At 38.1% G+C, this 12888-nt stretch overlaps 1 annotated feature.

The window, feature by feature from the left end:
- Positions 5807–6373: an enhancer, noted in NCBI's record as "OCT4 hESC enhancer chr7:141654062-141654628 (GRCh37/hg19 assembly coordinates)". NCBI's record gives its function as "activates a minimal SCP1, AML or CMV promoter by ChIP-STARR-seq in primed H9 embryonic stem cells {active_cell/tissue: H9 hESC(primed)}" and the evidence as "EXISTENCE:reporter gene assay evidence [ECO:0000049][PMID:30033119]".

Here is a 12888-nt window from a genome sequence, read left to right as displayed (position 1 = left end):
AGTTGGAAAAGGCCTTTTTTTTTTTCTGCCTTCTCAGTCCCTCCTTTCTTCAGAGAACAACCACCTCCACCTAGAGACAACTGCTCCTCCTCGTGCTGTCGCCAAGAGTTCTCCATGATCCCGCCCTTTACCATATTTGATGGATCCATTGCAAGCCCATCAAAGTCTGTTTTTGGGAATTTTCTAACTTGATCAAAGAAAACATTGGTAAGACATGAAATCCAGCAGTTTCTCATAGCTATATTCTCTACCATATAGCCTATTACACGCAGAAAGGAACAGAGACAAGAAGTGAATATGGCTAAAACCTGCTTTTATTCAGTTCCTGATGTTCCAGAGGCCCAGCTATATCCTTGCCCTGTTTTGGTTTCATTGAACAACCTTTTATCATATTCCATGAACCAATACATACCACTTTTGCCTAAATCTGTTTGAATTGAATTTCTGGCCCTTGTAACCAAAAGATTTATGCTGCGCTGAGTGGTACAAAATCACATAAATGGAACAATTAAGTCCATGAGCAGACATGTAGAGAAGGGATAAACACATAAGTTAGTTGTGGACCAGGAAAAAAAAAAGCATCATTCTTAGAATGGCCTGGCTCAGACTCAATGGGAAATTTAAATAGAAGATTAAATTTCAGTACCGAAAAAAAAAAAAAAAAGATGAACTGTCAGAGAAGATCTAAAGAATGGGTTATTGCTAGAGCCTCTTACATAGTTTGTTTTATTCTACTTGATCCACTTTGTTTGCAAGGTATATTTAACTTGACAGGTTTATGATTAAATTTAAATAAAGGTTGATTTATTTAATGGTGTTATTCACTTAAATACTGCCTGAGCAGGTGTCGTGCTTTTAAATAAGGTTGGGAGATGAAATGACGACACAGGCGTTAACCCCAAGCTTTTCTGTGCAAAAAAAGGCCCTAAATATACACAACTATTTAATAGTTTGTAATTATATTGGGAGAATGCTCCAAGTCCCTCTCATTCCAGATCATCTCTTCTCCTAATCATTCAGCAAATATGCTGTGTGCACTTGAGGGTCATCCATGCCTATAGTAGAAGTAGGGGAAACTGAAGAAGAATTGGTGAAGACAAAGTGTATGGACTTCACTGTTTTGCTGAGGACTAGCATCTCCCAAGTTGCAGACACAGTTCAGGTCCTCAGGCATCGCCTAGTTGGAGGAGAGAGGTAGCCGAGCCCTTCATATGTGGAAGTGTGAACACAGATATCCATAGCCTGAGGGAAACATGAAAAACCTAATCACCCATCTATGAACTTTAAGGATTTCCAGAGTTAGCCCTAGACATTCCAACCTCAGATTAATTATGGAAATAATTAGTAAGAGCCTGGGGAAGGTGATATTTGAGTGCCTTTCGACTTGTTTAAACACCTGATGGAATTAAGTAATTGATTTTACACACGGTTTAGTTTGGTATAAACCTGGGGATTCCTACTGCACTATTTTGTGTCTTTTATTTTCCATTTAGATCTTTGAGCAACAAGTTTGAATATCATGAACAGAGGTTTTTCCACTACTTTTTGTTTCTAGGATATGAAGTTTCAGAGAGACTCCAATTGAAAGTAGTGTAGTCAGTTGTTTAGCCTGGAGGTTCTGGAGTCATAACGGCTGATAATTGCAAATCTCAGCTCCAACATGGACCAAATTAGAAACATCAAAATACCTATTAATAGATAAATGGATAAACACATTGTGATATATTCATGCAATGGTGTGCTACACAGCAGTGCAACTGAACATGGATGACCTCACAAACATATTGTTGAATGAACAAGGAAAGTTTTAGGGCAATTTATATACTAGGATACCATTATTGCAGTTCTTAAATATCTACAAAACACCACCACATATTATACAGGGTTCCATAAGTGTGTGAGAAAACAGGAAGAAATGTGTGAGAATTATAAACACCTCATTCAGGAACGTGGTTACTGCTGATGGAAGAGTAGTATAAAAAGAGATTCCATTATTTTGTAATGGTTCAGCTCTTAGGTTAGGAGATAGGTGTTTATTATTATTATATTATCATTTATACTTTTATGTATACCTGAAATATTACGTTATATATATATATTTTTTTTTAATTTTTTGAGATGGAGTTTTGCTCTTTCGCCCAGGTTGGAGTGCAGTGGTGCGATCTCAGCTCACTACAAGCGATTTCCTGCCTCAGCCTCCTGAGTAGCTGGGATTACAGGCGCCTGCCACCATGTCTGGCTAATTTTTGTATTTTTAGGAGAAACGAGGTTTTACCATGCTGGCCAGGCTGGTCTCAAGCTCCTGACCTCATGATCTGCCCACCTCGGCCTCCCAAAGTGTTGGGATTACAGGCGTGAGCCACCGCGTCTGGCCCTGTAAAATATTTTTTAAAGATTACATCATAGATTTGGCTGTTTTTGTTAACATTACACACTATGTAAGCACTTTAAATATTTCTCTGATAGGACATTTACATGTCATTCCATGAGGCCAGGCTGGTCTCAAACTCCTGATCTTAAGTGATCCATCTGCTTCAGCCTCCCAAAGTGTGGGATTACAGGGATGAGTGGCCATGTCCACCCCAGTTTGTGTTTTTTCAATGAATTTAATATATTTTCTCCAATATTATGCATGTTTGTGTTATGTGCTTCATTCAGTAAAATAAAGTTTTATAGTTCTGAGAGATGTTTTTCTTATCCCTGGTTGATTTCACACATTATACTAATTTTCAGGCCCTTATAGGTATTTGAGTTTATAAACCATTGGTTTATAGGCCACAACACTATAAAAACAGATAAAGAGATCTTGCTTTGGCAGAATTATATGCACTATCCATCACCAAACAAAATAATGAACCTTTTGCTCGATGCACCTGTATAATAGTCAATTCACCATTTATACCAATTCACCATTTATGGTTTGGCTGTGTCCCCACCCAAATCTCACCTTGAATTGTAATAATCCCCACGTCTCAAGGGCGGGGCCAGGTGGAGATAATTGAATCACAGAGCAGTTTCCCCCATACTATTCCGGTAGTGAGTAAGTCTCATGAGATCTGATGGTTTTATAAATGAGTTCCCCTACACAATCTCTTTTGCCTGTCACCATGTAAGCCATGCTTTTGCTTCTCCTTTGCCTTCCGCCATGATTGTGAGGCTTCCCTAGCCATGTGGAACTGTGAAACTGATTCCATTAAACATCTTTCCTTTATAAATTACCCAATCTTGGGTATGTGGGGTTTTTTGTTGTTGTTGTTGTTGTTTTGAGGGAGTTTTGCCTTGCTCTGTCACCCAGGCTGGAGTACTATGGCGCGATCTCTGCTCACTGCCACCTCTGCCTCCCGGGTTCTAGCGATTCCCCTGCCTCAGCCTCCTGAGTAGCTGGGATTACAGATGCCCGCCACCATGTCCAGCTAATTTTTGTATTTTTAGTAGAGACTGGGTTTCACCATGTTGGTCAGGCTGGTCTTGAACTCCTGACCTCAGGTGATCCACCTGCCTTGGCCTCCCAAAGTGCTGGGATTACAGGCATGAGCCACTGTGCCCAGCCAGGTATGTTTTTATCAGCAGCGTGAGAACAGACTACTACGACCAGCCCCAGCCACAATCACAAAATTTGTAAGTCTTACCTTTATAATTGTGTATCTGTGTAATTCAAAATATTTCCTGAATTCAAAGACTATTGATCCTCAAAAGTGATTTCAAATTTAATCTTATCACAGAAATTGCTGCTTTCAAATGATATTTTCTGGCAGCTTATGCTTTACAATTATTCCAAAATCATAGGGCCATCTTTTAGCTAGGGCACTTCAAAACTTCTATTTCTCAAGTCAATTTTGTTAAGTTCTATTTATATAGCTATTTATCTATTTTTTATAAGTTTTAAATTATAATGGCTTAAATTTGTGGCATTCTCTTATAATCATATTTCACAGAATCTCAGATAACGTCAATCGTAAGATGCACCATAATTTTATATATCACTAAGAAAGAAAAATTAAAATCTGCCTATTAAAATACTGCACAGTGCCTTCTTATCATTGACTAAGATACATCCCAAATTCAGAGATGGTATTAAAAATAATGTACAAAGTCAGTGAAATGTAGTACTCTTTTAAATCCCTGTGTACCTATATTTCTTTTGTTCATTTATGCTTTTTAGTACACATGTGGAATACAACAGATTATCGTGTTATGCATCCAATTCATCATACAAAGCACTGAATATTTTATGGTCCTAGACATTCAAGCATGTCTGGTATACTACGTTAACTACCACATCTATAAATACATTAGTACAATGTGTTTCCTGATGAACGATGCAATAAACAGACTTCACTTCCTTGCCATTGCAAAATGTTGCCACAGTGGTTTTAAATTCATGAATAAGTCTGTCTTTTAGATGTATCATCACAGAATTTCTCTATAGTCATGCTTACTAATTTGACTTCTCTACAGTAGAATATCAAGGCTTTTCTTGGCACACAAAAATGTCATTCCTTGATATTTTATGTATCATGGGTATCCTTTTAATGAATTCATTGGTTGCATAAAATTTTTCATCAGTACCACAAGTAAATATAGCTAGCTGCTTAGAATTATTTATATCTTTGTTTTCATCAGCTGCAATATAAAACACCACAGAATATTTCATTTTTCTCCAACAAGTCCCCAGGTATGGTCACTATTCTCAGCAACAGTATTTCTCATTCACTCCGTAGTTTCACTCTTTGAGAAACTCATCATCTGTAAAATATTTATGGCCACTTTTTCACAATAGCATCACTTATTTGCATTCAGAAATTCATCCTGTGTAAATTCTAGTTCTTTCTTTTAGTTAATTAAGTTTTAATCATGTAGGTTTTCTAGATAACAGTTGTTCTTTGTTTCATAATGGTATCTTTTGTTGTATTTTTTGGCAAAGTCACATTTCGGGAGGCCAAGGCAGGCGGATCACGAGGTCAGGAGATCGAGACCATCCTGGTTAACATGGTGAAACCCCGTCTCTACTAAAAATACAAAAAAATTAGCTGGGCATGGTGGTGGGTGCCTGTGGTCTCAGCTACTCGGGAGGCTGAGGGAGGAGAACGGCATGAACCCAGAAGGCAGAGCTTGCAGTGAGCAGAGATTGCGCCACTGCACTCCAGTCTGGGTGACAGAGAGAGACTTCGTCTCAAAAAAAAAAAAAAAAAAAAAAAAAAAATATATATATATATATATACATACATGTGTATATAATATGTGTGTATATATGTGTGTGTATATATGCATATACATACATATGTATGTATAAATATGTGTGTATATATGTATATATGTGTGTATATGTGTGTATGTATGCATATACGTACATATATATGTATATGCATACATACACACACACATATACACACATATATACATATATACATATACACATATTTATACATACATATATATATATATATAGTCTAATTTTCACAAAGAAATACGTTCCCTCAGGGCTCAGTCACCCTTGATATGGTTTCCAATTCTACACTTCCAGGTTCTCCTGTGTGGCCAAGTCAGATAGCTGCCTTATACAACTGCCTCCTGGTGACCAGCTCATTATAGGTCAGCTGGCTGCAGCCTGCTCTACTTGCCATCCTGACCCCCACACCCAACATGGAGTGTGCAGACATGCTGCAGTGACCACCTCTGTGTGCCCCTGGAACTTATGCCTGCTTGCTTTAAACGCACCAATTAAAACTCCATGTGGAAAATCTGTTTAGATGATTCCTTGACCCCAATAAAGTTCGGCCCACAGGTCCCTTTCTCTCTTTCCCTGCCCTTGCTCCCTGACCTCCAGGTATGCCATGTAGCCTCCAGAGTCCCCAAATACTAAAAACTCTTAAACTTTCTCTGCGTGTGTGTGTGTGTGTGTGTGTGTGTGTGTGTGTGTGTGTGTGTATCTTTTATGTTTATATGTGTATATACATGTTTTTCATTGTTCTGGAAGCCTGTGGTCTCCTCATTCTATCTTTTGTTTTCCCTCTTTCAATAGATGTATGACTGTAAACCATTCTCACTCTCCTCTAAGAAAAAAACAGCTTTGCATGCATGACAATGGCTGGCAACTGGATTCCTTCCACAGAGGTGGTGAGACTGGAGACAGACTTGATGAGGCCTGACTCCTGCTCCAGCTGACCACTGGCCTATGCACATGTGTTCTCCATAGTGTGAGATCTCCTAAGTACTAGGATATCGGTTGAAATCTAAATTTCAATATGTTGATCCAAATTTTTTAAAACACTGAACAGGTCAAACTAAATACAGCTGCATACTGAGTGCAATCTATGGGCCACCAGTTTGCAACCTCTCTCCAATGGGGTGTGAGAGTGTGTTTCTGCATTCAAGCACTTGCTTACAAGGGATAAGGAACTGAGACAGAGAACTGTGAAATAAACTCTTTAAAAGATGGTATTTTGGCTGGGTGTGGTGGCTCACGCCTGTAATCCCAGCACTTTGGAAGGCCAAGGCAGGCGGATCACCCAAGGTCAGGAGTTTGAGACCAGCCTGGCCAACATGGTAAAACCCTGCCTCTACTAAAAATACAAAAATTAGCTGGATGTGGTAGTGCATGCCTATAATCCCAGCTACTCAGATGGCTGAGGCAGAGAATCACTTGAACCCAGGACGCAGAGGTTGCAGTGAGCCAAGATTGCGCCACTGCACTCCAGCCTGGATGACAGAGTGAGACTGTCTCAAAAAACTAAATGAATAAATAAAAACAATGCTATTTAGGTTGAGTAACCCAGAATATAGTGATAGATTATTGTATTCTGGTGTCATTTTTCTGTGGAATTCTTCTGAAGAAAGTCAAACGTCTAGACTAGAGAGGATAGACCCTTTCCTCTTACCAGGCATCCCATTAGACCACAGGGCTCTGAGCACTCTGCATTAGAGGGAGTGGAAGTTGGGCTATAAATCACGAATTCTGACAGCCACATCCCTGAGCAATTTTAAGTTGAATCTGGATTGTACTTTACTTTTATTATTGGTTCCTGAGTCACAACATTTCACTATCAAAACCCTAGATGTTTATCTATGATCATCTAGGATTTAGAATATTTCAACAAATATTTTAAAGACACTTAATATTTTGTTTCCTTCACAGATTTTTCTACTTAGAGGCTTCCAGAATATTTCTTTTTTAAAGAAATCCGAAATGATGTCTAGGTTTAGATTTCCTTTCATTGATTTTGCCTAATTTTCAGCTTTTTCACTTATATTTTCTTTCACAATTACTTTGATTATTGCTGTTCTTATATGTTATTTTTTCATGCTTTCTCTTTTGCAAGCCACAGAATGTATAAGGATCAGTTGGATCTAATATTAATATCTTTCTTTCTCCTCTACTTGTATTTCTTTTTCACTTTTTCTCTGAATTCCAAATTAATATTTCAATATCTTCTGATTTACTTATTTTCTTTCTATTGTATCCAATCAGCTATTCAGAGCCCTTCACTTCATTGTTTTTTTAAGCCAGCAATTAAATCTCAAAGTGTTTGTTGGTCCATTTCATTATATTAAGTCATATCTCTTTCATAGAGTTAGTGTTTTCTAAAATCTTAATAAAAACATATGAGGTGTTTTCTAACATTTCCTATGTCTTGTAATGATTTTGTTTCACAGATGGACATTGGATCTCTTTCTTCATAATGCTCATCTTATTTTGAGTTACTGTATTCTCGCATACCCATTGTTTTTTCCACATGTTAAACTTTGAAGTGAGAAATGAGTTTTGCCCATATTCAAAGTCCTGAAGCCTAGTGATGGGTTCTGATAGATATTGCAAATACCACATCTTAGAGGATTTGATCAAGGAAAATGGGGGAAGTTTTATATTTACTCTAGTTCTGTGTTGCCAGGCTAGAGACCAACTGAGCAGGAAGTATGACCACTGAGCATAGTGTTTCTTTGGCTTGGTGCTGGGACAGCCTTATATTAATGGGGTAATGTCATCATCATCCAACTGGAATGACTGTTCTCTGCAATGGGATTCCCAATTCATTTAAGGAGTCACTGTACGAAATAGAAGCCAAGTGCATCTCTGCTGCTGGTAGGCTCCAGAACCATACAGCCTTCCTGCAAGCTCTAAATCAGCCTGTCTCCAGGCCCCACAGCCTCCCCTCACCTCAAAGCTCTGACACATCAGGTTCAGGTATATATAATAGAGTTCTACTAGATGTTCCTTCTAATTATTCCCAAAGCAGCCTTTTTCTGTGGTTTGTATGAGTTCTGGTGTGTTATATTATCTGAGCAGCAATTTCCTTTAAAATATATAGTTTTATTAATATGGTAAGGGTGAATATAAGTTAACTCTATTTACAAACTAGGGGATGGTTTGTTATTATTTAAAGTACTATAATCACAATGCATTCTCCAAGGTGGTTATTTGAGATAGAAAGATTTAATCAGGAATGAATACTTTTGGAGATGGTCTGGCACTTAAATGATCATTCTTGAACACTATGACAGCAAATTTGTCAACTAGTATAAAGACTATTGCACAAATTTTTGATTGGTTAGAAATATTTTTTAGGCCTTACCATGCTCTCACAAATAAAGATTTAGATTACAAGTCTAAAAGCCTAACTCCATGGTGCAGTGTTCTGAGCACTGTGGATATGCTGGAGCTTCAACAGTGAAGAAGACAGACTCAGCCCTGCCTTCCTGACTTTATAGAGTCTAATAGGGGAAGCAAACAAGTGCATTATCATGCAATAAGTGCTCCCAAGGAAAAAATACATGATATTATGCGACACCAAAGATAACAGTCACTAAACTCAACTGGGCCAGGGAAAGAGAATCGGCAAGAAAGTTTTTCTGAAAAGATGAGACCTGAAGGGTGAGCTCAGACCTGAAAGATGAGTCAGAATTATTTAGTCAAAGAGGATATAGGAGTATACGTGTGTGTTTGGAAGACAGCAAGTGGTGCCGTTAGTGCTTTGCACATATTATGTGCTCAATAAACATGTGTCAGATAAATATTTGAAGAGTTGGATCCAGGAGAGAGTGCATAAAAAACTAGAAGTTTAATGTCACTAGCAGACAATGGTAGGGTAGATGTGGTGTCATGAGAGGTACAGAAGAACCAGCACATGGTCCTCATTGCCCAGAAGAGTATCTGGTTCATGGCAGCACTCAGCAACGTTTGCTAAAAGAATGAACATGCAAAGACTTAAAGACCATGTTAAGGGGCCAAAGCCTTGTCCTAAATGCAATAGAAAGTTACTAAAATGTTTAATCATGGAAATTATATAATCAAGTTTGCATTTAGATCATTCTGACTAAAGAGTGGAGAACTATTAAAGGCAAGATTATGGCAGAAATGTTTCTTTGGAGGTTACTGAAGGAGTCAAGGAGAGGGCCAAGGGGTAGCAGAGAGAAAATAGTAAAGAGGATAGATTTGATAGACTTTGAGGAGGTAAAGTCACCATGACTTGGAGTTTTATTAGATGGTGTATTAGGGTTCTCTAGAGGGACAGAACTAATAGGATAGATGTATATATGAAGGGGAGTTCATTAAGAAGTATTGACTCATACTATCACAAGGTGAAGTCCCACAGTAGGCTGTCTGCAAGCTGAGGAAGAAGGAAGCCAGTCAGAGTCCCAAAACCTCAAAAGTAGGGAAGCTGACAGTGCAGCCTTCATCTGTGGTTGAAGGTCTGAGGGACCCTGGCAAACCACTGGTTTAAGTCCAAGAGTCCAAAAGCTGAAGGACTTGGAGTCCGATGTTTGAGGGCAGGAAGCCTCCAGCACAGGAGAAAGATGAAGTCCAGAAGACTCAGCCAGCCCTTCCATGTTCCTCTGCCTGCTTTTATCCTAGCCGTGCTGGCAGCTGATTAGATGGTGCCCACCCAAATTGAGGGTGGGTCTGCCTCTCACAGTCCACTGACTCAAATGTTAATCTCCTTTGGCAACACCCTTACAGACACACCCAGGAACGATAGTTTGCATCCTTCAATCCAATCAAGTTGACACTCAATATTAACCATCATAGATGGGATGGAATTAGAGAAGCCAAGGATAATACCCACACTTCATGATTCAGGCAACTAAACAAATGGTCTTTACATTCAGAGACATGGAACATAAGAGAATGAACTTGTTTTGGCCATGGTATAGCAATTAATACATTTTGGGAAATGGTGACTCTGGGGTGTCTGCGAAGCACCTCAATGAAAAATGTAGCTAGTCAGAGATATATAGATCTGAAGCTCTCTGATAAAGATTTAGGAATCAACTTCATGAACATGGTGATTAAAACCGTGAGATGAAGAGAGGAGGGATAACTACAAAATCTGAGGAATAGGCAGAGGAGAAAAATAATAAATGGAGAGGCCAGGGAGAAGGGAAGAAAGTCAGGAGAATGTAAAATTATGGAGACCAAGAAAAAGATTATACAATGTAGGCCAATGTGGGCCTCTGCCACAAGTGGCGTAAAGACTGAAAGGAGCCCATTTAATTCATCGAGTGGGAGTCAGCACTTAGTGATGTGGTCATAGTGGAACTCAGACTGGCGTGAGCTGAGGAGAAAGCAGGAGGTGGGGAAGAGGGGGCTGTGAAAACTGGCAATCCATTCAAAAATTCTGACTGTGAAGATAAGGGGAAACATCAGGTCTCTTTCAAATTTTCAGGTTTTCTCACTAAACTGCCTGAGAGAATTCCAGCAATATACATTTAAGGAAATATACATATACTTACGTATGTACATATGTATATAAATATATATATATGCTACTAATAAGGCTCAAGAGACAGTACTAGTCTTTATCATCTTGAGATACAAAATAAAGTTATGTCTGTAAATATTCATGTTGATACCACTTGAAACTCCAATTAATGAATCATAGGATGTCCTTTCTTCTTTTGGTTTCCTTTCTTGATACCCCATGGACACCTAATCCAAATGTGGCAGTTACAGTTCCTACTTTGACAAAGTCTGATCAGTCCACCAAGTTGGTATTGTTGCTGCCACTGTCACCATAGGGTAAACATTCTGAAAATAGCAGTCCAGCTGTGTGGTGCCATAGCCTATCAGCATCAACAGCTGATCCTGGGAGCTGGATTAAGAAAACGTTATAGATCCTCTTTTTTTGCTCGTTAGGATAGGAAAGCTTTTAATGACTATCCATGTCAATACACACACACACACACACACACACACACACACACTGCACACTGCCATTTTCCCCCACAAAACACACACGATAACCCAGAAGTCTTGTTTAGCCATACACTGTGTCCCTTCCAAATTACCTACAATTGTGGGCATGGTCTTCTTAACTCTTTGGTAATTACAATGTAGAGGTGACTCCGTTGTCTGCTCAGGCAATTATAATATTGCATAATACAGTCCCTAAAGACTTAGCATTTCCAACTTGATGTCACATGAAGATTGCCAAAGTTAAATTTCAGTTTTACTCTTCAATAAAACTTTTTTCTTTATTTTTAGGACTCAGCCTAGTGAAAAAAATCTAATTTGACTCACTAAGCAGAGAATTTGTTATCCCAGTCTGCAATAACTGATTAAAAATTAGTGATCTCATGGTTTTTTCCCCAAAAAACAATGTGTGGGTATTTCCTTACAATTGTGTGACTAGAAGCCCCTTTCTTATTATTTTCCCAAAGCAATGGGCATGGGCCCCCAATGCTATTGACTTCATCTCTAGTAACCCCTCAGTTGCATTTGCCATTGCAGATATTGGCTTTTTTTTAGCAAGGTTTCTGATAATGTCGAGTTTAAGAGAAGCATTGCAGTGCGAAGCCTTGAACAAGAATTTAGATTTTTCTTTAGATTTTCTAGCAGAGCAGAGGTGTCCCACAATGCATCAGTCAGAGTACTACCCCCAAAACTTCTGTGGACATCCTTTTATACTATGACATTTTCTTCTCTTTTGATGATATTTGAAAGATCTCTTATACCTCTTTGTTATAAAAGATTCACTTGCTATCCAAGTGTATAGATTTTATTAAGTTATTCAGAAAGTCTCTGTTAAAAACTTTCTAAATAATAATAACCAAGTCTCCTGATTCCCATACTTCCTAACATAGCTGGCATAATTGGCCATATTTATTGTCCAATAAATATATGGATCCTTCTGGACAGCAATCTAGGGTCTAGAAGTAATTACCTTGTGACCAGATAAATCAGGTTCAATGAGATTTTTCAAAAACACAGAGGACTATCCAAGTAGAACAAAACACAACTTTAATGTTCCAAAGCCCTCCAAATGTACATGTCTTTTGATCCAGCATTTATATTTCTGATAACTTAGCCCAAGAAAGTTATTAAGGACATGTAAAAGGATGCATGCACTTAGCTGTTCACTGTGCATTGGGAAGATAGTTAGAAGAGTTTTAGAAAATAGTTAGAATACTAAGGATTTATGTTTAAGATGCTGAGTATCACGCTATTGAAATTACAAGCATTATCTTGCTCATTTCTCGGAACAATCCTATGTGGTATTTACTATAATTACTCCTATTTATAGATAAAGAAATGGAAGGTAAAGAGACTCAGTAACTTAATCAAGGATGTTCAGCTAGTGAAGGTCAGCTCCAGGAATCAAAAGCAGGACTGATTTTTAAAACTTTGTTCTTGTCCACCACACTTTACTAGAAGATTTGTGGTTATGCAATTGTTAAAGAAATAATATACTTTTACACCTGAATAAATAAATCATATAGTTTTACACCTGAATGCTATGCACATATTAAATAATACATTATCAAAATCTATATTTTGACATGAAAAGATATATATAACATAGTGTTAGCTTAATCTTGAGCAGATAGATTGCAAAACAATATGTACAATATGTTCCCATTGTTCTTTGTGAACCAGTGTTTTTCTGTCTATCT

This window comes from Homo sapiens, chromosome 7 (genome assembly GCF_000001405.40).
Source record: "Homo sapiens chromosome 7, GRCh38.p14 Primary Assembly".
Lineage (NCBI taxonomy): Eukaryota > Metazoa > Chordata > Mammalia > Primates > Hominidae > Homo > Homo sapiens.
Note: the sequence above shows the minus strand (reverse complement) of the source record. Positions and strands in the feature narration are given on the sequence as shown.